Here is a 24,928-nt window from a genome sequence, read left to right on the forward strand (position 1 = left end):
TTTCTCCTCGGTCCTCGGTTTTCCAAAAGGAAGAAATGTGACATGGAGAATTGGATTTTTGGTCAAAGAACAACAAGCCTACCCCTCCCAGACAACACATTTTCAAGGAACCCCCCTTTTGCCAGGGTGGACAAGCAAGAAATGAATAAAATCCGAATTCAATGGCATCCCGGATCAGCAAATACCATATTCACTTCAGAGGCTCAAGATGAATCTAGAGCGGTGGGGAGAATCTGATGAAATCCCCCCACCCACTCCCCTGCCCCGGGAGGAGCCCTGAAGCCTTTGGGGTCTGAAATAGGAAGGCAAAGGGGGGTTATTATGGGGAATCTCTTGATGGAGGCGCCGGCAGAGGTGGGGTGGCAGTGAAGGAACAGGATGGTTTTGCCCATGAAGACCCCAAAATGGAGAAGAGGAGTGGCTGGGCCCCAGGGACAGTGCTGGATTTCCAGAAACCCAACTGCAAGCAAATGGGGGGTCTTCGGGGGCCTCTAGATTGGGACGGGCAGAGGGTTAGGATCTAAGAATAAGAAACCTTCTGAGATGGGAAAAGTCCTCCAGCCCCTGCAGCGGGGAGCAGGGAAAATGGTGATTATCAGAGGAGCCAGGAGTTGGATTCTGAAGGCGACACCAGCAGAAAATCCAGGAGGGGTGGGCGGGTGGGGGGCTGGAGGGAGGCGAGGAGAGGAGCCCCAGCCCTGCAGCGGCCCACCCCCAGCCGGCGCCCCCACCTTCCCCGGACGCGGCGGAGAAACCGGGCCGCGGGCAGACAAGAGGCGAGTCTTACCACCAAATTGGGTAGCCAGCGAGGACCCTGGTGCCACCGAGCAGGAGGCCGAGGAGCAGCCCGAGCAGGTGGGGCTCCATTAGAAGAGGCGCCGAGGAGGAAGTTTGCCCGCGACCATGAAGAGGGGGAGCGACGCCCCCAATAGTTGGAACAAAGTCCACTTGAGATTGGAAATGACTTTCGGGCTTGTCAGAAGCGCACCTCCACCCGCAGCCGCCCCCCTCCCGAGCCCAGCGCGGAGCAGCCGGGTTTGAGGATGTCAGCGAGCAGCCAATCAGCGCCCGCGGCCTAAGGTAAGAGATGAGTCTGTAGTTCAGCCTGTCAATCACGCGCCCCTCCCGCCCGGCCCACAACTCGGGCTCCGGGAAGGGCATCGCCCAGCAAACTTGGGCAAAGCCCGCGCCCCGGACGCCGCGGGGCTTCGGGGGGACGCGGTGGGCCGGACCCTCTGCTACCGCCGCGGTCCCCCGCTGGCCAGGGTTAGGGCGCGGGGGCTTTGACCCGGGCGTTCACATGGCGAGGGCTTGGCGTGGGCATGAACGGGTGGCTCCTTTGCTGGCGGGGACCGTGACCCGTTGGGACGTGGGCCCGCGAGGAATCGAGGGTAGAAAGCACAGGGATGTTTCCAGAAGCCCCGCTCGGGCAGGTCAGGATCAGAGGGTGGGGGAACGCACCCCCTCCCAGCTTCCAGCCTCCCGAGTCCGCCCGCTCTCTGGCCTCTCGTCCTGGCCGCGGGAGGTCACTTCCCGGGTGTCCGAGGAACGTGCGGAAAAGTCCGCGGAGGCTCGAAGGTCTGGCTGCGGGCGGCGCCGGGGGACGGAGCCGAGTGTCATTTGAGTCTTTTGTCAGGGATCAGATCGGTATCGGGACCTCCTGCTGCCTTTGCATTTCCTGCAACTGACACCAGCGGCCAGTCGCATTTCCTGCTCTCGGAGTCGGGTCACTTTCTCCTCCTTGAGGGGTTCAGGCCCGACCTCTGGCCCGGGTCGGAGGCGTGACCCACAGCCTCAGTGGGATTCTCGGTTGGACCATCAGGGACCGGTGAAACGCGCAGCTCTGGCCGAGGGCGGCCCAGGTCCTTGGAAGACCTTGCTGCCCTCCGGAGCGCCCCTCACTGCCCGACCGTCCCGCCTGAGGCCCCGGTTCTACTGATAGGGAGCTCCAGCCTGGGGTTTGGCGATAAAGGCCCTTGCCCTGTGCGGACACCAAATGCCTCCAGTTACCCACCCCTCCCCACAGGAAAGGAGTCCTTCCAGGCCCCCTTCGGGCTTGCTTCCTCTCCTCTCCCTCTCCAGAGCGAGGAATTAGGTCTCAGCCCTGGGTGGTATTGACATCATGGTCAGGTTTTGGGGACTCACGCCCGGTCACCTGGGTGCCTTTCCCTAGGCCCCCTCCCAGGCCACCTGAGGCACCAGGACTCTGCGCAGCCCCGGTCTGGGGTGAAGGAAGCACTGCCGGTGGGGAGCAGGGACCGCTGTGTAGGGAACTGTGGCAGAAAGGGCAGAGAATGAGCCGACCCGAGTCCCACAGAGGCCTGGAACGGCGGGCGTTCCACGAGGTGAGGGCCATGGCTGAAGGAAGTCTTACGCCAGGGGGCCAGACATTCCTGGCCTTTGATCTGAGCCCCCCGTACCCACAGCTCCAACCTGCTGCCCCTTCTGGTCGGCGAGCCCTCTCCGCACGCGGCTGCTGCCGGCACAGGGAGCGCGGGGAAATGGCCTCGGGGGCACCAAGGGTCGGGAGAGCCGCCTGGGCTTGTCATGGCTCCTGCTGCGTTCCCAGCCCATTGCTGGACTGGAGGGGGTGGGAGGGGAGGTTGAAAGAGAGGAAGGAAGGGGAGGAAAAGGAGAATCCGAGAGGAGGAGAGAGAGAGAGGGGCTCAGAGATGAGAGAGACGCTGAGACAGAAACCAAGAAAACTGTCGGGGGGAGGCTGAGCCACCGGTGTGAGGAAGAAAGGGGCAGGGGGGAGGCGGAGAGCACCAAGGAGCTGCAAGGCGAAGAAAAATCGTGAACCTGACCAGGAGTGGTGAACCTGGTGGGGGCTGCAGAGATGGGGATCCCTAGAGATGCTCCTCATGGCTGGGCTGATTCTGGGGTGCCCTGTTTCTGATTCACCTGGAAAGAGGGTTACCATTGCCATGAATGCAGAGCCTCAGGACCAAGGCTCTGGCAGTGGAGAGCTTTCCACATACCTCCCTCTTGGATGGAGGCCTGCTAGGTCCTACCTGGAGTCCTGTCCCACCCACAGGGCTCCCAGGTGGCTTTCTGATCAGAGCTGCCTGCTGGAGTCCTGCCCAAGGGCTCGGGAGTTCCAGAGCCCCATGACAGTGGTGCTGAGAGCTGGGGAGGGCTACCTTCCCTGGCCACTCAGACACCACTGTGGATGCAGTATGGTGGGGCGACAGGGCCTGGACTTGATGGCTTCTTGGGGTCATTACTGGGCCTCAAGACTCCACAGGTGCCAACCCTGTGAGGTGGGAGCAAAAGATCCGAGGCTGTCGGTGGGAGTGTGTGTTGGCTGAGATATGCCCAGCCAGCATCCTGGGTGCTGTGGGCAAGAACATCATTCCCTGAGGGGTCATGTGTACCTGAATGCCTCCTCCAGGCAGCCTGGAGAACTCAGACGCAGGTCATGTGCATCAGGCAGGAAACAAGTGGGTTGAAGGGTGGAATCTAGGAGCTGGCCATGTGCGCCTGGGAAGTGACAGAGGAGAGGACTGGAACCTACCAGCGGCCCTGCCAGGCCCCTAGTGAATGGAGGTGTGTGTGGGGATTTCCGCCACTTGAAAGCTCCTCAGACAAGGGGAGCCTGAGTCCCTTCCTTTCCCCCAGGTGTCCTTCCTTCAACACAGGTTTAATTTCCTTCCTCCTGCACCCCTTGCGCTGCCGCGGGTGGAAACGCAGGAATGGTTTCTCTCAGGGGAGGGCGGGCGCCCCTGACCACACATCACAGATAGAAACACCCTCTCTCTAACAGGTACCCCAAGCCCCAGGGTGGTTTCACTTGGTGGAGAAAGGGTTAAATTCACTCCAAGACCAGGAAGGGAGGGCGGGGTGGAGGCATCAGCCGGTGGACCAGGAGGCCATCGCCCTGAAAGGAAGGGTGGTCTCTTGGAAGAGGGCAGAAGAGGCAGCAAGGGCCAGGGACCTGGGGACATGGGGTGGCACGTGGGAAGCACTTTTTGTTGTGTGTGTGAATGTGTGGGACCTTAGACCTGGGAAGGGGACCCCAGTCCCAACCCAACCCCTCTCTCTAGCTGGCTCGGAGGTTCCTTTTGATGTGCACTCCCCCGGGGCTCAGAGTCTGCCGCTGTGTATTCAGTGAGGCTCCACTGGACCCCCTGCGGAGGCACCGTGTAGACAAAGAATCCGGTGGCCAGGCCCCCGCCCGCCCTCATGGGGCTACCCGTCTGTCGCGGGGAAGGAGGAGGAAATCTCCGATCCAGGCACTGTGCCATTCATTTTTGCTTGAAACAGGTCTTGGGGCTGCCAGGCGGGAGTCGGGAGCCGGACCAACCTGGGGGGGTAAAGGGAGAGGCGAAGCCGTTGCAGCGGGGAAGCAGGTGGGGAAGTGCGAAGGGCCGAAGGCCTAACACCACAGGGCTTATGGAGGAACAGTGCAAAGGGAGCACATAGGGGGCTCCAAGGCCTCTGACCTGGAGAGGAGGGCGTTTAACTTTCTCCTAGGAGCTGTAGGAACCGCAGAGCGGTTTTAGGCGAGCTCCCTAGAGGCCACTGGAAGGCTGGACAGCAGAGCCTGGAAGCAGGAAGGCCCTAGCGTGGGTGGTGGGCGCAGGAGTAAATCGGATTTCTTTCCACTGCCCAGCCTAGTTTGCTGGCATAGAGGCTGCATCCTGGAAATGCAGGAAGCCCCTGACCTGCACCGAGTAAGCGCATAGTAGGTAAGCACCAGATGTTAATCTAACACACAAAGGAGCGCAGGTGCACGCGGAGGTCGGCTCAGAGCCCAGCGGCGCGGGCGCGCCCCCTGGCGGCAGTGCTGATAGCAAGGCGGGAGGTCAGCAGGCGAGGAAGGGGTCGCGCCTGGTCCCACTCCGCTCCCTGCGGGCCCGGCATCCTCAATTGTTGCTGGTGAGCAGCCCGGATTTCGGAGGATCTTGGTTAAGCAGGTGCCCTCCTGAGTGAATGCCCTTAATCTACCTCGCAATCCCGGAGCTTAGCTGGGGATAAGGGGTGCATGGCTTCAGGCTCCCCTCTCCTCTCCAGACAGGCGGAGGGCGAGCGGGCCCAGGTGATGCCGGTCCAGGGCGCACTGGGGCACCGCCAGATCCACCCTGCGGATGCCTCCCTCTTCCGCTGACATATGGGAGGCTGCCAGCGGCAGGCGGATGTCACCAGTTCTTCCTGGATCCCGAGATCACAGGGGCCGCTGTGGGCACCTGAGAGGTTCTCCCTGTGGCAGTAGTTCCTCCTGTCTTAGCTCTAGCTCCCCAGGGCATTCAGTTTTATGTATTTATATATATATGTATTTATAATAAATATGTATTTATAATAAATATGTATTTATAATAAATATGTATTTATAATAAATATGTATTTATAATAAATATGTATTATATAATAAACACATATATTATATATTATATATTATATATATTATATTATATATATTTATATATTATATATTATATATTTATATATAATATATTATATATATTTATATATAATATATTATATATTATATATATAGAAAGGTGGAATTTCATTCTTGTTGCCCAGGCTGTAGTGCAATGGCGCGGTCTCGACTCACTGCAACCTCTGCCTCCCAGGTTCAAGCGATTCTCCTGCCTCAGCCTCCCAAGCAGCTGGGATTACATGTGCCCGCCACCACGCCTGACTAATTTTTTGTATTTTTAGTAGAGACAGGGTTTCACCGTGTTGGCCAGGCTGGTCTCGAACTCCTGACCTATATTTTTAAGACAGAGTCTCACTGTGTCGCCCAGGCTGGAGTACAGTGGTGCAGTCTCGGCTCACTGCAACCTCCACCTCCCCATATTCAAGTGGTTCTCCTGCCTCCGCCGCTCAAGTAGCTGGGATTACAAGCATGCACCACCATACCCAGCTAATTTGTGTTTTTTTGGTAGAGACAGGGTTTCGCCATGTTAGCCAAGCTGGTCTTGAACTCCTGACCTCAAATGACCCACCCATCTTGGTCTCCCAAAGTGCTGGGATTACAGGTGCAAGCCACCATGCCTGGCCTCCCCAGAGCATTTTGGAAAGCGATTTGCGGTGAAAGTCCTTTAGAAGGGAGGGAATGGGGTGGGGTGGGGGCACTGGCCGGTTGCCTGTCATCTCTGAGTCCCTGGCTTCGGTTGTGGAGTGGAGATAACACTTTCCACCTTGTAGGGAGCTGTCAGCGTTAAATGAGAATGGTGCTGACGGAATGCCAGACTGCGGATGGTGAATACAAAATATTGGGTTTCCTTCTTCTCTTGAGGCAAGGAGTAAGCCTCTCTCTCAGGTCTCTCTTCCTGCCCCAGTCAGTGTCTGCTAAGCAGTCCCCCTTCAGGCGCCCAGGAGCCTTCTCCAGAAGGATTTATCCGGGATAATGTTGTCTGATGTCCCCTTCCAAGACCCACTTCAAAATATCCACTTCAGAGAGGCCCCTCCAGACCCCTTGCCACTCCCTAGCCCTGTCCTGTCAGGCCTCTTATTCAGCTTTATTTTCCAGCATAGCCCTGACACTGATGTGATTAATATGTGATTACACATATTATTATTTTTTTGAGACGGTGTCTTGCTCTGTCGCTCAGGCTGGCATGCAGTGGTGTGATCTTGGCTCACTGCAGCATCCACCTCCTGGGTTCAAGTGATTCTCTTGTCTCAGCCTCCCAAGTAGCTGAGATTACAGGCGCTCGCCACCATGCCTGGCTAATTTTTGTATTTTTGGTAGAGACAGTGTTTCACCATGTTGGCCAGGCTGGTCTTGAACTCCTGACCTCAGGTGGTACGCCCGCCTTGGCCTCCCAAAGTGCTGGGATTACAGGCGTAAGCCCCCATGCCCGGCTGATTATACATACTACATAGCAGACATATCTGCTCAGTTTCTTGCATATGTTGTCCGTCTCCAACTGTGAAATCTCCACAAAGAAACTCCCTCCACAAGACTGCTGAACCCCCAGTGGTGAGGGATCCAGCACTTAGCAGCCCCTCGAAAACACTGTTGATGATGGGCCCAGAGGAGAGGGAGCAGGCAGGGCCGAGGTCTCAGATAGAAGGGCCACTGACTCAGGTCTGGGCTCCCTGTGGCCCCTCAGGGTCCTCAGTGCCCCTATCTTGAGTGGCCCTGGCCCCTACAACTCCAACCCACCCCAGCTACCCTGCTCTGTCGCTTGGTTCCTGTGTCCCTTTCATAGGACCCTGTGCTGCCTCCAGTGGGATGAGATTAAGGGTGGGCAGCCTGTTGGGAAGTCACTGCCACATGGGGGCATCTGGGGCTTGGTGGCCCCTCGTGCTGCCTCTCCAGCCATGTGCCACACCTCTTTCTCCTTCCCTTTCTTTCTCTTCAGCCTCCCTCTGTGCCCCTTTATTCTGCCATTGCCTCATAACCCTGAGCCCCATCCCTGGACATGGCTGGCCTGCCCAAGGCTTTTGGGGCTCTAACCCAAGGCCAGCTCCTAGCATGGCTGTGATCCTACCTGAGGAGTTAGAGCCAGACCTCTGTGTGTGGCTGCCACGGTTTCTCTCAGTCACCTGGAACTAGAGCTCCTGAGTTTTCCTTCCACTCCCCTGTGTATGGGACATAAGCAGGCAGGGAAGGGGAGGGAGCCCTGGTTGCAACCCAGGAGGGGCTTGGAGCCATCTTTGGTCTCTTCTGTCTCCAACCTTAGTCACGATGGGCCCCCACCTTCCGCCTGGGCTCTGAGGGCGGAAAGTGTCTGTATTTCTCATCGCACACATTGACTGCATGCCTGCTGTGGACAAGGCTCCACGAGGAATGGGACTACCCTCAAGGAGTCTGCCTTCTTCCTTATAACCCAGCTCCGGTTGATGCACACAGTAGGTGCTCTGTGAATTTCACCTGGTCCATTTCTTCAACGCATCTTCATGGAGCAACTCTGTGTGCAGCTGCCCCTTGGCAGCTGAGCACTGATGAGCAAAAGCAGCCCAGGTTTTGGCCTGCAAGGAACTTGCCATCTGCTGGGGACAGTCATTCATCAGAGGACCAAATACGTAAATGTTTCCTTAAAAAACAAAACCAGGCCAGGCATGGTGGCTCATGCCTATAATCCCAGCACTTTGGGAGGCCGAGGTGGGCGGATCACCTGAGGTCAGGGGTTTGAAACCAGCCTGGCCAATGTGGCAAAACCCTGTCTCTACTAAAAATACAAAATTAGCTGGGCATGGTGGCGCATGCCTGTAATCCCAGCTACTTGGGAGGCTGAGGCAGGAGAATCACTTGAATCCAGGAGGCGGAGGTTGCGGTGAGCCAAGACCGTGCCACTGCACTCCAGCCTCGGCAACAAGAGCTAAACTGTCTCAAGAAAACAAAACAAAACGAAACAAAACAGAGGTGTGGAAGTTCTCTCCATCTCAGGGGTCTTGCGGGGAAGACTTTTGTGGGGGCACATTAGGGAGATAGAATAGAACAAGCCTGATAATATCCTTGGAGATGGTGAAGAAATTTCTAGTGAAGTCCTGGTTTGCACCTTCCAGAACTCTGCCAACTAACCACCTTCTCCACAGACCAGTATGGCCAGTAGCTGTCATTGCTGGGACCTCAGGGTGGCCAGCTATGGGCCCTGAGTCCTGGGAGCCTAATCACATGGATGGAGGCCCAGTGGGCTGGGAATGGGGTCACAGCTGCCTCACTGGCAAGGGCCTAGGCACAGCTGGCACAGACGTTGGAGGGCCCTTGGGCTAAGCAGGGACATCTGCCTGGCATTTCCCACATCCCAGCAGGACCCACCTCTTATGCACCTTTGTCTTGGCTTCTAGATAAGGCCTGAATGGGGATTCACATGTCTGACTGGGAAATCCTCTCTGAGTGGTTGCGTTAGAGCCCAGGTCTACCACAACCCCAGTGAATCCCAGCTCTGCCTCTTACTATGTGACACTGAGCATATTATCTAACCTCTCTGTACCTGCTTCATCAACTGCAAAATGGGTATAATAACACTTGTCTCAAAAAGACAATTGCCTATTCAGCAGAGTGATAGCTGCTGTGTTTGAAATGGCACCTGGGACATGTAAAATGATCGGTGAGCATCCACTCCCTCCCTCTGTGGCAATCAGCTGCTCTTTTTTTTTTTTTTTTTTTGAGATGAAGTCTCGCTCTATCACCCAGGCTGGAGTGATCTTGTCTCACTGCAACCTGCAACCTCTGCCTCCTGGGTTCAAATGATTCTGCTGCCTCAGTCCTCCTAGCTGGGACTACAGATGCAAGCTACCACGCCTGGATAATTTTTGTAGTTTTAATAGAGATAGAATTTCACCATGTTGGCCAGGCTGGTCTTGAACTCCTGACCTCAAATGATCCACCCACCTCAGCTTCCCAGAGTGTTGGGATTACAGGCATGAGCCACCATGCCCAGCCTCAGCTGCTGTTTTTGAACTTCTGGAAGACAGGCTTCTGTTTAGATTTAGTGTAGCTCACACTGCTGGTGGTCCCTTCCTCCAGGATGGCAGAGGCCCCCAGTTTGTTCTGGTCTTTACTCCTCCCCTACCTTGCTCAGAGGTAAATCCTGACTGATCTAAGTCAATCACGGGGACCCATTCTGCTTGCCAGGGATTGGCCTAAACTGGGTGACATGTGCCTGAGGGAGGTCAGCTGAAGGGTGCAAGAAGGTTTCTGGGAAGAGTTTTTGGGGCTCTTAAAATGACACACAGTAAGAAATATCTTTTCCCTGCTTTTGGACATTGTTGTTTTGGGTTGGGATACCTGGAGCTGCAGCAGCCATTCTGTGACTATGAGGAAAGCTGCCTGAAGATGAAGCTGACCGGCAGAGGAAGACAGAGCCAAGAGAGAGAAACAAACTTCATCTCTGACACCATTGCTGAGACACTAACTGCCTTCAGAGGAGTCCTGCTTTGGAACTTCTTGTGATATGAAATAATACATTTTCCTTGTTCGTTAGCCCACTTGAGGCTGTTACTTGTAGCCAAAGGCCTCCTAACTATCTGTATCCTCCTCACCCATCATGTCTAGTGTAGGGTAGTTGGATTAAATGTGGAGACTGACTTACAAGGTGAGTTGCTTTTACTTAAGGATGGATGAGTGTTAGGATTTCTTTTTCTTTTCTTTTCTCTTTTTTTGAGACAGAAATTTCTTTCTTTTTTTTTTTTTTGAGGCAGAGTCTTGCTCTGTCTCCCAGGCTGGAGTGCAGTGGTGCAATCTCGGCTCACTGCAAGCTCCGCGCCCCAGGTTCACACCATTCCCCTGCCTCAGCCTCCCAAGTAGCTGGGACTACAGGCACCCACCACCACGCCCAGCTGATTTTTTTTTATTTTTAGTAGAGACGGGGTTTCACCATGTTAGCCAGGATGGTCTCGATCCGCTGACCTCATGATCCGCCGACCTCATGATCCGCCCACCTCGGCCTATCCCAAAGTGCTGGAATTACAGGTATGAGCCACCGGGCCTGGCCAACAGAAATTTCTTTTCTTTTCTCTTTTCCTTTCTCTCTGTCTCTCTCTTTTTTTCCTTTGGATTTCTTTTTCTTTTCTCTTTTTTTGAGACAGCGTCTCACTCTGTCACTCAGACTGGAGTGCAGCAGCACAATTTTGGCTCAGTGCGACCTCCATCTCCCAGGATCTAATGATCCTCTCACCTCAGCTTCCCAAGGAGCTGGGACTACAGGCATACACCACCACAACAAGCTAATTTTTTAAAATTTTTGGTAGAGATGGGGTTCCATCATGTTGCCCAGCCAGGGTGGTCTTGAACTCCTGAGCTCAAGCGATCCATCCACCTCAGCCTCCCACAGTGCTGGGATTACAGGCATGAGTCACCACGCCCTGCCAGGGCTTCTTTTTCTTGATTTGAGGGTTTGTCTAGGTGGGGGTGAGGTTGCAACTGGAGCCTGGAGCTGGGAGCCTCATTCTGAGATGACTTGTGGGGAGAAAGGAAACAACAAAAGGGAGGGTGTAGGGTTGAGGTGAGGTTTAAGATGCATCCAGAATGTAGTTCTGCCCAGGTCGGGCACGGTGGCTCATGCCTGTATTTCCAGCACTTTGGGAGGCCAAGGCAGGCAGATTGCTTTGAGCTCAGGAGTTTGAGACCAGACTGGGCAACTTGGTGAAACCCTATCTCTACAAAAAAAAAAAAAAGAATTGCCAGGTGTTGGTGGCTCGTGCCTGTAGTCCCAGCTACTCAGGAGGCTGAGGCTGGAGAATCGCTTGAGCCCAAGAGGCAGAGGTTGCAGTGAGCCACTGCACTCCAACCTGTGTGACAGAGTGAGACCCTGTCTCAAAAACAAAAACAAAACAAACAAACAGAAAGAATGTAGTTCTGCCCAGTGCTGCCTTTGCATTTTCCTAAAGAGGCTGCAACTTGACTGCTGATGGGTTTGAGGTTCATGAAAATGTTTTGGAATTAGTGGTGAAGGTTGCACAACTTTTTCAATATACTGGAAGCTACTGAATTGTGCACTTTAAAATGGTGATTTTTTTATGGTGTGCAAATTATATTTCAATTTTTTTTTTTAGACAGAGTTTCACTCTTGTCACCCAGGCTGGAGTGCAATGGAGCAATCTTGGCTCACTGCAACCTCAGCCTCCCAGATTCAAGTGATTCTCCTGCCTCAGCCTCCCCAGTAGCTGGGACTACAGGCATGTGTCACTATGCCTGGCTCATTTTTTTGTATTTTTAGTAGAGAAAGGGTTTCACCATGTTGGCCAGGCTGGTCTCGAACTCCTGACCTCAGGTGATCTACCCGCCTCAGCCTCCCAAAGTGCTGGGATTACTGTGTAAGGCACCACGCCTGGCCTCAATTTTTTAAAAAGAGAAAAAGCAGCAGCCCAGCCACCTGCCTCCTACAGTCTCCCCTCTGCCCTTCATTCTCAGGTGTCTAGGAGCCATTCTCAGGCTCCCTGAGTGTGTTTCGGGGATGGAGGGGCACAGCCCCACCAGCCATGCCACACAGGAGCACTTCCTAAAGTCTCTGCTGGGAGGGGCTGGTGGAAGCCTTGCCTGGGGACACTGGGACTCACTCTTTCACCTGAGGGGATGGTTATCTCCTAAGGCCTGGTCCTCACTGGCCAAATAGCCTCAGGTTGGGATGGGAGTAGGGGGTGGGGGCAAAGTGATGCTGTGGTGGGGTGGGGGGAGCATGAGTTCTGTGATCAGAAAGAACAAGTTCACATCCTGGCTCCCTGCTGCTGAGCTGTGACTTTGGGCAAGTTATCTAGATCTCTCTGTGGCCGTTTCTTATCTGGCAAATGGGTATACTAATTCCACCCTTGGCAGGGTTAAATGGCATAGTTTACCCAAAAAGCTCAGGGCATCTAGTAGATAACACAGGCTGACTTCCTAAGACCTGTTATTATCATGAGACCAAACATAATGGCAGAATCCTAACCAGGCTGTCTTAGTGATTGAGGACTGTTGGTGACGAGATGTTCCCAGCTCTCTTGCTTTTCTCAGACTGCCCAAAAGCCTTCCTCCCCTCATCCTCATCACCCACCCCTACCTTTGCCTACCATAGCCTCCCCACCCCCACACCCAGCCTTTTGCTATGCACATCAGCAGGTGTGGTAATGTGGGAAATCATATTTCCTTTCTTTTTTTTGAGATGAGGTCTCGCTCTGTCGCCTGGGCTACAGTTCAATGGCACAAACACGGCTTACTGCAGCCTCGACCTCCCGGGCTCAAGCAATCCTCCCACTTCAGCCTCCTGAGTGGCTGAGACCACAGACATGCACCACCGCACCTGCCTAACTTTTTATTATTTTTAGAGATGGTGTCTTCTTCCTACACTGCCCAGGCTGATCTCCAACTCTTGGGCTCAGGAGATCCTCCCCTCTCAAAGGGCTGGGATTACAGGCATGAGCCACCACACCTGGCCAGAAATCATATTTCTGAATCCCAAATCAGAGTACATGGCATAACCAAAATATTTATTCTTTTACTTTATTTTCTTTTTTCTCCAGAATTTAAGAAAATCTGAAATGAAAATCTGAAATGTAGTTTGGTCAAAGGTTGGACTTTTGGGAGCATTTTGATGGCTAGTGGTGACACTTCTCATGGCTAGAGAGGGCCACGGGTGTTCTAGAAGGTGAGGCATGGGTTAAACCACTTTGAATCACACATGGAGAAAGCTCATTTATTCACACCCCCTGTTCCATTCTCCTTCACTCCTTCTGAGTATCCTCAAAGAAAAAGTCTGGTTGGTCCTAATACGACTTCAGCACCTCTCCAACACTTGCTAAGATCCTTTTCTAATAAAGAGAGAAAGTCACACATTCAGAGCCTTTGCAGGGCCATAGTGTCTGGTTAGAATGAAACCTCATTGTTGAAAATGAGTAAATCTAAAATCTTCTTTTCAGTTGACGTTATTAAGAACAATGCAAATCAATGTAAAGAAAAGTGTTCAAAAAATAGCAGAACAGGTATGCATGCAGCTATAGAGTGGGGGTAGCATGGAAATGCCTGGAGTCTGGAAAACACCGGAACATGGGACAACAGAGCTGAGGGCTTGCAGTCAGGGTGCGCTGTAAGTGCCTGACCATACAGTCTGTGTGGTCAGGGCATCTTGGTTGGCCAGAGACCCTGTGGGTGAGCGAGGCTAGAGCTGGCAGAACCCCAGAATTGCACCCGGAAGCCACCTGGCTATGAGCTGAGATTACCCCCAGCATCTGCTCTGCCTCAAGGTACCAGATAGGTGATCTGGGGTGGCCCATCCAGCCTTAAGAGTGGGTTGGATGACAGAGGAGGCCAGCACTAGGCCCCTGTGACTCGGATACTCACGTTGGAGGGAGAGGTGGAGGACGAAGCGTAACTGTCTTCCAGTTGTCCAGAAAGGCTGGGCAAGGTCCTGGGTCACCTTCTCTGTTCTAGGCCCATCAGAGGCTTTCTTCAGGGTCTAGGAGAAGAGGGGGAGGGCCCCAGAGTGGCGGGGTCAAGTTCAGACACCCCTGAGCACTGCTCTGGAGGCAGGCAGGTCAGGCCCAAAAGGTGCGTGGGCCTCAGGGAGCCACTTGTTCCCCTCCGGGTCCCCTCCAGTGAAGAGCCACAGAGGAGGGGACTGGGAAACCAGGGTTCCAGCTTCAGCTTTCTCCTGACTGGCTGTGTGTCCCCGGACAAGGCACTCACCCCCTCTGGGTCTCAGTGTCCCTGCAGGTTGAAACTGCCAAATGAAGAGTTCTTTGGGTCCTGTATGCATTGAGTGAATGCTCTGCTTCCCCGTGATCCCTGAGGCCAACACCCTTTGTGTTCCTGTGCCCTTTCAGGGCAGACCAGGACACTGTGCCAGAGCTGGCTGCAGGCCTCTGGCTAGAGCTACCCCAGCCTTCAGCAGAGGCTTGTCCTCCTAGGTGAAGGGTTGTCCATGCCCAGCCTCGTGAGGCCCGCGTGGTTTTGGGCAGTGCCCAGTGGCACTATTGGCAGGCTCCAGGCACTAAAGGAAGAGACCGAGACCCTGAAAGGTGGGGGAGGAAGACAGAGAAGGAAGAGGTGCCTGCAGAGGGGGTGCTGGTGGCTGCCCCTCACAAACGTGCCAAAGGTTGCCAACTTGAGTTTAAGCCTTGGTTCCAGAACACAAAGCCTCCTCTCTGGGGGCCTTGACCCCTCGGAGCCCCCACCCCGGGCCGGCTGAGCTGCCCGGAGGGAACTAGCCCCAGAAGGGCCTGGTTGTTGGCTGCGAAGTGGCTGGGAGGGAAGTTTTAATGATACACAACACAAGACACAGGGGGGAAAAGAGAGAGGGGGGTGGTGGAGGAGAGAAGGGAGGTTGGGGGGAGAAAGAAAGACCTCCTGCCAGGCCTGTTGCCAGGAAACGGCCAGGCAGCCAGAATCAGCCCTGCTCTTTTCACAGTTGGCTTTAAGCACCGAGAGAAAGCCCGGGCCATAAAGGGGGACATGTGTTGCTGGGTGTGTAAGGCTAGCCTCTGCAGTTAGGGGAGCCCCTGCCCCCGCCCCTGCCGCTGCACCGAGAGCCCCTTGAGCCCCCAGCCCTGCCTCCACGCCTGGGGATTATGGATGAACGATTGAGCTGCCGAGCAATGGAAAAGGCAGGGGTGGCCCTGGCCTTCCAATGTCGCAGCCACTTTGGGGGTGAAACTCACCAGTTGGGTCCCCAGGAAGCTGGCAGGGGCTGGCAGGGCAGGGAGATCTGGGATTCCAACATGGCACGTCCACAGAAAAGTATTCCTATTGGCTCTGCGTGGTCCATCCAGGTTAGGGGGGTGAGGTGTCTGGACTTCTAGGAATCCTCAACAGGGCACTCAGAAGGGAGCTGACAAGTCCCAGAAACCTGCATTCTGGCTCCTGGTTCTTGTCACGGATGCCATGGTGGGAACAGGCCCCTTTAGGCTGTGCCTTGGCACTTGGGGACTGTCCCTGCAGCGCAGTGACTGCTGTGTCCCTGAAGAGTCCACCACACAGCCAGGAAAGAGCAAAAAGAGGGGGAGGGTTGTTGACAAAACGAGCTCATGGCCCTGGCTGCCAATCCAGAGTGATGTCAGCTGAGGAGTGACATGGTGCTCTCAGCACAGAGGACGTCAGCAAACCGGGAAGCAGCATGTGCGTGGAAGCTGGGCCTGAGCCCTGACGCTTCAGCTGAGCTCCCTGGGTGATGGCTCCTTCCACAAGTTCTAACGTCCCACTGAAAGCAAGCTGCAATTTCTGTTGCTTCTTGTATCAATTGCATGAAAGGACGGGCAGTTTCTTTTGATCCTCTGGCATGCCAAGGCCTGAATGCCAGTCCTGGGAGCCTTACCAGCCCTCTAAGAAGAATCAGAAGGTGAGTGTTAGGGAGGAAGGGACAGCCAACCCACCCCGACTCCCCATCTGGTCACCTCACTGCCTGACTTCTCTCTGAGCTTTCCGAGACACTGCTGGAGGCCGACCTGAGCTCAAACTCAAACCCCAGTCTCCTGCTCAGTGTGGTGGGCAGCCCTGCTTCCCTGGCTCATGGAGTGAGTGAGGGTGTGTGTGAGTCAGTTCTAACAAAATCAAGAAATCACTGTATCTTCCAAGAAAGCTTTGACTCAGTGCATGTGTGCACTGAGCTGTTTCCCACGTGAGTGAGCGTCCTGGAAAACAGGCCTGCCCGGGGAAGAAGTGAGCCAGTCTGCCTGCTAGAAACTGCTGGGGGCTCCTGATCGGGAGGCTTGCTTTTCCTTCAACTTCCTTCGCCTCTTTTTCTGGCTGGAGTGTGTGGTTCTGCTAGTTCTGGAGTCTTTCCTGTCCCCATTCTGGACCATGTCCCATCCCAGGTATCAAGAATGGCTCATACCTGTAATCCCAGCATCTTGGGAGTCTGAGGCAGGAGGATCACTTGAGGCCAAGAGTTTGAGACCAACCTGGGCAACATAGTGAGACCCTGTCTCTGCAAAAATTTAAAACTAAGTCAGGTGTGGTGGCATGTGTTTGCAGTCTCAGCTACTCGGGAGGCTGAGGGGAGAGGATTGCTTGAGCCCAGGCATTTGAGGTTGCAGTGAGCTAGGATGGCACCACTACACTCCAGCCTGGTCGATGGAGTGAGACCCTGTTTCAAAAAATAAAAAAAGAAAATGTCTTACTTCCAGAGGGGCTGAATCTCCATGAGGTGGTAACCAAAACGACGGATTTGCCAACTCTCAGGGGGAAGTGGTGTCCTGGGCAGTGGCTGGAGAAGCAGGTGGTGCCTGGGTCTGATCGCAGGAGGGAGGCCTTCTGGGTTCTGCCTCTGGGAGAGGGCAGGCTGCTGGGGAGGGCGCGCATTAGGAGATGGAGAGTTAGGCCACCAAGGAGCCCACTAGGGCACCTGGCAAGTTCTGCTAGGCCTGCCGAGGCATGGCTGGGCTTTACAACAGGGGGTACGGAGCTCCTTGAGTGGAAAGCTCCTCTCGCTGGCTTGCCCCTGATTTCATCTCAAGAACGGTCAACTCTAGCAAGCAAATATACCTCCTGGGCTGTAGGTAGGGGCTCAGCCCTGTCCCTGAGGCTGGGCACAGGCTTGGTCCTTCTCGCCTGCCTCCTCCCCTTCCCTGTCCTCTGTCACACCCCTCCCCCATGCAGAGGAGCCAGTTTTAACCTGGAAGGTTCCCTCTGCCCTCTCACAACTCAGCACCCCTGTTATTCCTTCAGAACCCCTGGCCAGCTCCTCAAGGGCTTCCCCCACGCTAATATACTCTTAGAGTCTGTGGCTTCTGTTTCTCTAGCTTGTTCAGGGAAGAGTCTCTGGAGGCCCACCTTACCCCCAGAAGCATTCCAAAAAATGGCCATTGAGCTCACCTGTCAGTGTTCCTCCCCCAGGCAGCATCAAACTCCCTAGATTGGCCCTCAGTCTCTCTTCTTCTTCTCCTTCTCCTTCTCCTTCTTCTTCTTTCTGGAGACAGGATCTCGCTCTGTTGTCCAGGCTGCAGCGCAGTAGTGCGATCAGTGCTCACTGTAGCCTCCATCTCCTGGGGTCAAGTGATCCTCCCACCTCAGCCTCCTGAGTAGCTGGCACTACAGGAACACACCACCACACCTGGCTAATTTTTTTTTATTTTTAGTAGACAGATGAGGTCTTGCCATGTTGTCCCTTATTCTTTTTTTTCTTTTTTGAGACAGAGTCTCACTCTGTTGCCTAGGTTTGAGTGCAGTGGCACAATCCCGGCTCACTGCAAGCTCCGCCTCCCGGGTTCACGCCATTCTCCTGCCTCAGCCTCCCGAGTAGCTGGGACTACAGGCACCCGCCACCACGCCCAGCTAATTTTTAATATTTTTATTAGAGACAGGGTTTCACCGTGTTAGCCAGGATGGTATCGATCTCCTGACCTCGTGATCCACCCACCTCGGCCTCTCAAAGTGCTGGGATTACAGGCATGAGCCACCACGCCCAGCCCAGTCTCCCTTATTCTTAATGAGGTGACCATGAGTTAATCTCTTAGGTCCACCCTCACCTCCTCCAGGAAGCCTCCCTGACTTACCCCTCCTCCTTTGTGCCTTCTAGCTTCTCATCAGTGTAGTCATTCCTGACCTACAGTGGCCCTCAGCAGTTGCCAAGATTTGTCCCCAAAGCTCAGGGCTGGTGGTCAGGTGGGTTAGGGATGAGTTGTTAAGGGTTGGGAGAATACATCTCCTAATGCAATGAGGAACAGATCCAGCTGGGTTGGAGGGAAGGGAGGAGGGCCTGCGCCCCCTCAGCCCCCTTCACTCCCCACCTCTGCACCCCTGCCTAGCTTCTTAACCAGGAAGTTGAGCTACCTTCACTAAAGAAGAGTGGAGACAGGAGACCCGGCCCTTCTCTCTGGGACAGGACTCTCCTGGTGGGGCTCCTCAGAGGTGAGATCCTGCCTCTGGGCCCCTGGGAGACCCTGGACCTTAAAGTTATTGTGCCCACACATTCTGGATGGGGCCTGCGAGGATGGTCAGGGTCATAGTGCCACCTGCTGGGGCTCCCAGGAACAGCAGCTGGAGAGACGCTGACGTGTGTGTGTGTGTGTGTGTGTGTGTGTGTGTGTGTGTGTCTCGGTTGTGGTGGTGGCGGGGCAATTAATAACACCTCACCACAGATCTTAAAATTCGCCTGATATTGAACCCTTACCCCCTTTCCAAGGAAGCAGCCAAAAGAGTGCGGAGGAAGTGATATTGGAATTCAACTGGGGCTCCCAGGGAAATCCAGGGCTGCAGGGACATAATTGCATTCCTTGGAACTGCTGTTTTTTGAACTTCATTCATGAAGCCTGGTTTCTAGGGATGCTTTCTCTTTTCATGGACCCAGAAGGAAAGTGGAGATGGTTCTTCATGCTTCTATGTGAAATGGGGTTTCAAGGGCAAAAAACAAGTAAGCACTTTGAATATCTTTGTGTTTTTTTACACTGATAAGAGGAAGAAAAGTATGTCACATTGTAAATGTCGATGATTAGAAACAGTCCAAGGTGATCATTGTAATGTCAATTTCTGAAGCAGTTGGGAGAAATAAGTAGGATAATGAAATGAATCAGCACAGTGCCTCTCACTTGCTAAATATGCCGCATGTTGGGAAATTCATTGATAAAATGAAACCCACTGTGGAGAAAGTGACTGGCCTTCCTGGCAAGCCAGGCTGGAGGTGAGCAGGGTTGGCCAGGGTCATGGGGTGATGTCTTGGTTGGAAGCCACCAGGTGACCTGTGTCCTGTTGACACACAAGTATGCTGCTTAGTAACTCCCTGGAATTATTTTTAAAAAGCTAGATGTGTGAATAAAGAATTTGGGGGATTACAATTTTGGTTTGTAAATGAACCCTTTGCTTTAGGAAGAACTCAGCATAGGACCCTTGCAAGTATTTCTTTTTCTTTTTTTCTTTTTTTTGAGACAGAGTCTCGCTCTGTCGCCCAGGCTGTAGTGCAGTGGCGTGATCTCGGCTCACTGCAACCTCCACCTCCCAGGTTCAAGCAATTCTCCTGCCTCAGCCTCCCAAGTAGCTAGGACTACAGGCACTCGCCACCATGCTAGGCTAATTTTTGTATTTTTAGTAGAGATGGGGTTTCACCATGTTGGCCAGGCTGGTCTTGATCTCTTGACCTCGTGATCTGCCCGCCGCGGCCCCCCAAAGTGCTGGGATTACAGGCGTGAGCCACCGTGCCTGGCTGAACCTTGCAAGTATTTCACATGATATTTGTTTTGCCCCCTTCATCCCTTTACTTATGTAACCAAACTCCACCTGCAGTGACAAGGCTGGCCTGATAACCTACTCATGGAGCCAAATGCAGATGCTTCTTAGGCAGAATTTGGAGTATAAATGGGAGAATATTTGGGGGACTGGAGGGTGGGACTGATGTTGGGGAATCAGCAAGCACCAGGCCACCATCTTGCTGTATGACATTTGTTTCCCCATCGAATCCTCACTAGAACCCCATGCAAGAGCTGCCGCTGCCACCCTCGTTTTACAAATAAGGGACTTGTGGCCCAGGGAGGCTGTGTGACCTGTCCGAGGTCATAGTCCTAATAAACGCTAGAGGTGGGATGTGAACCCAGAGAGTCTGGGGTGACTCCAAAGGACTGAGGCTGGGAACACAGGAAGGTGGTGATGCCCCTGCTGGGAATGTGCCTGGGGGAAGGTTTGGAGGGATGGCTCATGGTCAGTGGGATTTAGTTTCCCACTCACCAGGCAGAGGACTGACCTGGTATATGCCTTCAGGGCTGATATGCACAATTGTGCATGTTGTGCACTGCAAAAGGTTACACCACATATGAGGACACTGTGCACATCACGGCCATATTTGCAGTGATTGTTTTCTGACAGTTGGGAAAAAAGTGCCTGGAGGAGGAGGGACCTCTTTCTAAATCACTCAGAGGGGCTTCATGGGTGGGTGGCGTTTTCCACGTGTACATCACCGTCTTTCTCCACCCAAGGGAGTGAGCAGGTACTGGGACAACTTTAGGCCATTGCTCCAACCCCTGTGTTGAGGGGGTGGAGGAACCTTTTGCATTTTCTGCCCCCTCTTCACTTCTCCCAGAAGTCATGGGAGGGGCAACAGACAGCAAAAGCCTTCTCTGTGTCACTGGCCCTACTGTTTTCTCTCTGAGACATCTGGCTGAAAATTCAGGCTCTTGCCATCCCTGTGGAAACAGGATCACATAATTGGTGGTAAGGTGGGGAGGGAAGGAAGGAGAAGTGAGGAACAGCCGAGTGGGTCAGTGGATCAGAAGAGATAGAACGGGGCCTGCCTTAAAAAAAAAAAAAAAAATCACAGGCCAGGTGTGGTGGCTTATGCTTGTAATCCCAACTTTTTGGAAGGCCAAGGCAGGAGGATCACCTGAACCCAGGAGTTCAAGACCAGCCTGGGCAACATACTGAGACCCCATTTCTACAAAAAATGAAAAAATTAGCTGGGCATGGTGGTATTCGCCCATAATCCTAGCTTCTCAGGAGGCTAAGGCAGGAGGATCGCTTGAGCCTGGGAGGTCAAGGCTGCAGTGAGCCATGATGGCGCCACTGCACTCCAGCCTGGGCGACAGAGCGAGACCCTGTCTCAAAATAAATTAATTAATTTTAAAAATTAAAAATAAAATTTAAAAAGTACATATACACACACATCCACGTATATGTAAAATGTCATAGATAATTTGGGTTGTTTTAATAAGCATATATCAGCCTTCAAGCAGATGCAGTCCATAAAAATCCGGGTTTACAAAAACAGATAATTTGGCATAGAGGCCTGTGCACAGAGAGGGGATTACTCACCATATAAAATGGTTTCCAGGGGCTTGTTTTCTTTTCTAAAGAATTTTGTTTTGTTTTCTGAGACGGAGTCGCACTCTGTCGCCCAGGCTGGAGTGAAGTGGAGTGATCTTGGCTCACTGCAACCTCTTCCTCCCGGGTTCAAGCCATTCTCCTGCCTCAGCCTCCTGAATAGCTGGGATTACAGGCGCCCGCCACCATGCCCAGCTAATTTTTGTATTTTTAGTAGAGACAGACTTTCACCATGTTGGCCAAGCTGGTCTCGAACTCCTGACCTCAGGAGTTCCGCCCGCCTCGGCCTCCCAAAGTACTGGGATTACAGGCGTGAGCCACCGCACCTGGCCTCTAAAGAATTTTAAGTGAATTTCCAAGAGTTTCAAAGATGATTGTTATGTTTATGGAATGCTTATTCTATTAGCTCTGAACTCATGCTAATATGTTTGTGGCCATGCGACCCAGCATACACTCTGTCCTTGTGGCCACTGCCAATGGGACCAGCTGTGGGTACCTGACCCTTGGCACTCTTAGCCCCTGGCGGGTCCAGGCAGCACTGGCGTGGTGTCCACTTTTTTCTCAGACACTTGCATCAGGTTGTATGGTAGCTGCCACTGGGCCCCAAAGCTGTATGGCTGTGGCACAACGCAGGCGTCAAGGCAGCCATGACTGCCATGCACAGGCTGTAAATTCTTTATATATATATATATGTTTTTTTATTATACTTTAAGTTCTAGGGTACATGTGCACAATGTGCAGGTTTGTTACATAGGTATACATGTGCCATGTTGATGTGCTGCACCTATCAACTCATCATTTACACTAGGCATTTCTCCCAATGCTCTCCCTCCCCCAGTCCCCCCCGCCAAGAGGCCCCAGTGTGTGATGTTCCCTGCCCTGTGTCCATGTGTTCTGATTGTTCAGTTCCCACCTATGAGAACATGCAGTGTTTGGTTTTCTATCCTTGTGATAGTTTGCTGAGAATGATGGTTTCCAGCTTCATCCGTGTCCCTGCAAAGGACATGAACTCATCCTTTTTCATGGCTGCATAGTAGTCCATGGTGTATATGTGCCACATTTTCTCTTTTCTTTCTTTCTTTCTTTCTTTCTTTCTTTCTTTCTTTCTTTCTTTCTTTCTTTCTTTCTTTCTCTTCTTTCTTTCTTTTTTCTTTCTTCTTTCTTTCTTTCTTTCTTTCTTTCTTTCTTTTCTTTCTTTCTTTCTCTCTCTCTCTTTCCTTTCTTTCCTTCCTTCATTCCTTCTTTCTTTCTTTCTTTTTGAGATGGAGTCTCACTCTGTCTCTCAGGCTGGAGTGCAGTGGTGTGATCTCGGCTCACTGCAAGCTCCGCCTCCTGGATTCATGCCATTCTCCTGCCTTAGCCTCCCGAGTAGCTGGTACTACAGGTGCCCGACACCACGCCCGGCTAATTTTTTATATTTTTAGTAGAGACGGGGTTTCACCGTGTTAGCCAGGATGGTCTCGATCTCCTGACCTCATGATCCACCCGCCTCGGCCTCCCAAAGTGCTGGGATTACAGGCGCGAGCCACGGTGCCCAGCCCATTTTCTTAATCCAGTCTATCATTGATGGACATCTGGGTTGGTTCCAAGTCTTTGCTATTGTGAATAGCACCACAATAAACATATGTGTGCATGTGTCTTTATAGTAGCATGATTTATAATCCTTTGTGTACATACCCAGTAATGGGATCCCTGGGTCAAATGATATTGCTAGTTCTAGATCCTTGAGGAATTGCCATACTGTCTAATTGAACTAATTTACACTCCCACCAACAGTGTAAAAGTGTTCCTGTTTCTCCACATCCTTTCCTGCATCTGTTGTTTCCTGACTTTTTAATGGTCGCCATTCTAACTGGCGTGAGATGGTATCTCATTGTGGTTTTGATTTGCATTTCTCTGATGACCAGTGATGATGAGCATTTTTTCATGTGTCTGTTGGCTGCATAAATGTCTTCTTTTGAGAAGTGTCTGTTCATATCCTTTGCCCATTTTTTGATGGGGTTGTTTTTTCTTGTAAATTTGTTTAAGTTCTTTGTAGATTCTGGATATTAGCCCTTTGCAGGCTGTAAATTCTAAGCAGCAGGAAGTAGGTGTGAGTAGAAGTGGAGGCAGAAAGCAGCCGGTTCTGTTTCCAACTGCATTCTCCTTTCCTGTGCCCCTGTGTCATCACCATGGAACGCCTTTCCCGATGCTACTTCCAACAGGAGGCAGAGGGTGGGAGAATTCAGGTTGGAAGGCTTATCCCTAGGAAAGAGGGTGCCGACAGACAAGGCTCCTTGGAAGCCTGACAAATCAAATTTACCATTTATTGAGCACCTACTATGTGACAGGAACATGACACGCATGATTTCATTTAATCTTCACAACCAGCCCAAAGAGCAGCTTTCTCCCTATTTACAGTCGGAGAAACGGAGGCTCTGAGAGATTGTAAGGGACTTGCCCACGGTCACCCAGCTAGGAAGGAAAGCCAGAAGGCCAGCCTAGGTATCCTGGCGGTCCTGGATCAGAGACACTGCTGTGAGGCTTCCCGGTGGGAAGAAGGAAAGTCATGCATCGATATTCATCACCGAGTGAGAGTGAGAGTTCAGCCCTGTCCCAGGCACCTCTGGGCGGGAGGGTGGAGAATCCGAAAGAAAGAGGCCCGTCCCTGGTCCTCAAGGTCGTGCCAACAGGCCAACTAAGCCATGTCCCAAATTGAGAGCGGGTTAAGGTGGGGGCGTGGGGACGCCCTGACGCAACAGGGCTTCGGAGAAGGGAGCGCTGGGGGCTGCAATGCCAGAGGATTCCTTGAGGAGAAGGGGCTGGTGGGGCGGGTAGGGGCTGGCCGGGAGCAGGACCGGGAGGAACTGGACCCTCTGGACTGGGGAGTGCGGGGTAGATGAAGGCAGAGGAGATGGAGGTTCTGCAGTGTGAGGCAGGCGGACAGGGAAGCCTGCATCCAGCTGAGAGACCTTGAGCAACCACGTCCTCCTCTGAGCTCCGCGTTTGCCGTGTGCAAAGTGAAGGGGTAGGCCGACCCCGCAGGGCCCTTCTTGCGCTCCTCTGCGGTGTGTGGGGGGGTCTCTGGTCCGCGAGAGGACAGTCCCTGCCGCGCCGAGCGTCCTCCAGCGTCCGCGGCCGCCGCGAGCAGCGCTGACCGGCAGGGGGCGCTCCTGCAGAAGGCTGGCCGCGGTGGCGCCCTCGGCGGGGCCTGGGCTGGCCTGGGGACCCGGGAGGCCTCCCCCTCCATCCCTCCAGGTCCTCTCCCACCACTTGCCTTCTCACACCGCCCCTTCCCACTCTATGCTCTGGGATTAAAGGCTTGGGAAGTTGCTGGTATTTAGGTCCTTGGGCAGGCCACTTCGCCTCTCTGTGCCTCAGTTTCTTCAGGCGCAAACTGGGTTGTGTGAGGAAGAGATGAGTTATTGGTCAGGAGAGCCTTCCAGCCACAGGTGAGGTAGATATGCCGCTGCTGCACACCCCAATATCATTCCTAGGGCAGGGGCTGCTGCTCTACAACCTCAGGGTTACAGTTAGCTTTAAATCTTTATTTATTTGGTTGTTTTTTCAGACAGGGTCTCCCTCTGTCGCCCAGGCTGGAGTGCAGTGGCGCGATCACGGCTCACTGCAGCCTCAAACTCCTGGGTTCAAACCATCCTCCTGCCTCAGCCTCCCGAGTAGCTCGAACCACAGGTGCATACCACCATGCCCAGCTATTAATTTTTTTTGTAGAGATGGGATCTTGCTTTGGTGCCCAGAGCTGGTCTCGAACTCCTGGGCTCAAGTGATCCTCCCATCTCAGTCTCCCAAAGTGCTGGGATTACAGGCATGAGC

At 53.2% G+C, this 24,928-nt stretch overlaps 3 protein-coding genes and 1 long non-coding RNA gene across 4 annotated transcripts in view, besides 4 other annotated features; 2 read left to right on the forward strand and 2 right to left on the reverse strand.

Annotated features, from left to right (window-relative positions):
• Nucleotides 1–962, reverse strand: part of WNT3 (Wnt family member 3) — a 56,187-nt gene extending 55,225 nt beyond the window's left edge. Inside the window, exon 1 of the mRNA NM_030753.5 lies at nt 788–962. Coding sequence (NP_110380.1) covers nt 788–867 — 80 coding nt within the window. The 5' untranslated portion in view covers nt 868–962. The remainder of the gene's footprint in view (nt 1–787) is intronic.
• LRRC37A2 (leucine rich repeat containing 37 member A2) overlaps nt 1–24,928 on the forward strand; it is a 676,337-nt gene that overhangs the window by 444,939 nt on the left and 206,470 nt on the right. The window lies entirely within an intron of this gene.
• Nucleotides 2,017–2,604: an enhancer, noted in NCBI's record as "H3K27ac-H3K4me1 hESC enhancer chr17:44897113-44897700 (GRCh37/hg19 assembly coordinates)". NCBI's record gives its function as "activates a minimal SCP1, AML or CMV promoter by ChIP-STARR-seq in naive and primed H9 embryonic stem cells {active_cell/tissue: H9 hESC(naive and primed)}" and the evidence as "EXISTENCE:reporter gene assay evidence [ECO:0000049][PMID:30033119]".
• Nucleotides 13,060–15,372, reverse strand: LOC101929777 (uncharacterized). Its single transcript, XR_429986.3, has 3 exons — nt 15,034–15,372; nt 13,718–13,832; nt 13,060–13,188 (listed from the first exon to the last, which is right to left on the reverse strand). It is a non-coding gene; the product is annotated as an uncharacterized LOC101929777 (long non-coding RNA).
• Nucleotides 13,975–14,622: an enhancer, noted in NCBI's record as "H3K27ac-H3K4me1 hESC enhancer chr17:44909071-44909718 (GRCh37/hg19 assembly coordinates)". NCBI's record gives its function as "activates a minimal SCP1, AML or CMV promoter by ChIP-STARR-seq in naive H9 embryonic stem cells {active_cell/tissue: H9 hESC(naive)}" and the evidence as "EXISTENCE:reporter gene assay evidence [ECO:0000049][PMID:30033119]".
• Nucleotides 14,623–15,270: an enhancer, noted in NCBI's record as "H3K27ac-H3K4me1 hESC enhancer chr17:44909719-44910366 (GRCh37/hg19 assembly coordinates)". NCBI's record gives its function as "activates a minimal SCP1, AML or CMV promoter by ChIP-STARR-seq in naive H9 embryonic stem cells {active_cell/tissue: H9 hESC(naive)}" and the evidence as "EXISTENCE:reporter gene assay evidence [ECO:0000049][PMID:30033119]".
• Nucleotides 15,271–15,918: an enhancer, noted in NCBI's record as "H3K27ac-H3K4me1 hESC enhancer chr17:44910367-44911014 (GRCh37/hg19 assembly coordinates)". NCBI's record gives its function as "activates a minimal SCP1, AML or CMV promoter by ChIP-STARR-seq in naive H9 embryonic stem cells {active_cell/tissue: H9 hESC(naive)}" and the evidence as "EXISTENCE:reporter gene assay evidence [ECO:0000049][PMID:30033119]".
• WNT9B (Wnt family member 9B) overlaps nt 15,459–24,928 on the forward strand; it is a 53,550-nt gene continuing 44,080 nt past the window's right edge. Inside the window, exon 1 of the mRNA XM_011525178.3 lies at nt 15,459–15,710. Within this exon, the coding sequence (XP_011523480.1) occupies nt 15,616–15,710 (95 nt within the window). The 5' untranslated portion in view covers nt 15,459–15,615. The remainder of the gene's footprint in view (nt 15,711–24,928) is intronic.

The sequence above is a fragment of the Homo sapiens genome, chromosome 17, assembly GCF_000001405.40.
Source record: "Homo sapiens chromosome 17, GRCh38.p14 Primary Assembly".
NCBI lineage: Eukaryota > Metazoa > Chordata > Mammalia > Primates > Hominidae > Homo > Homo sapiens.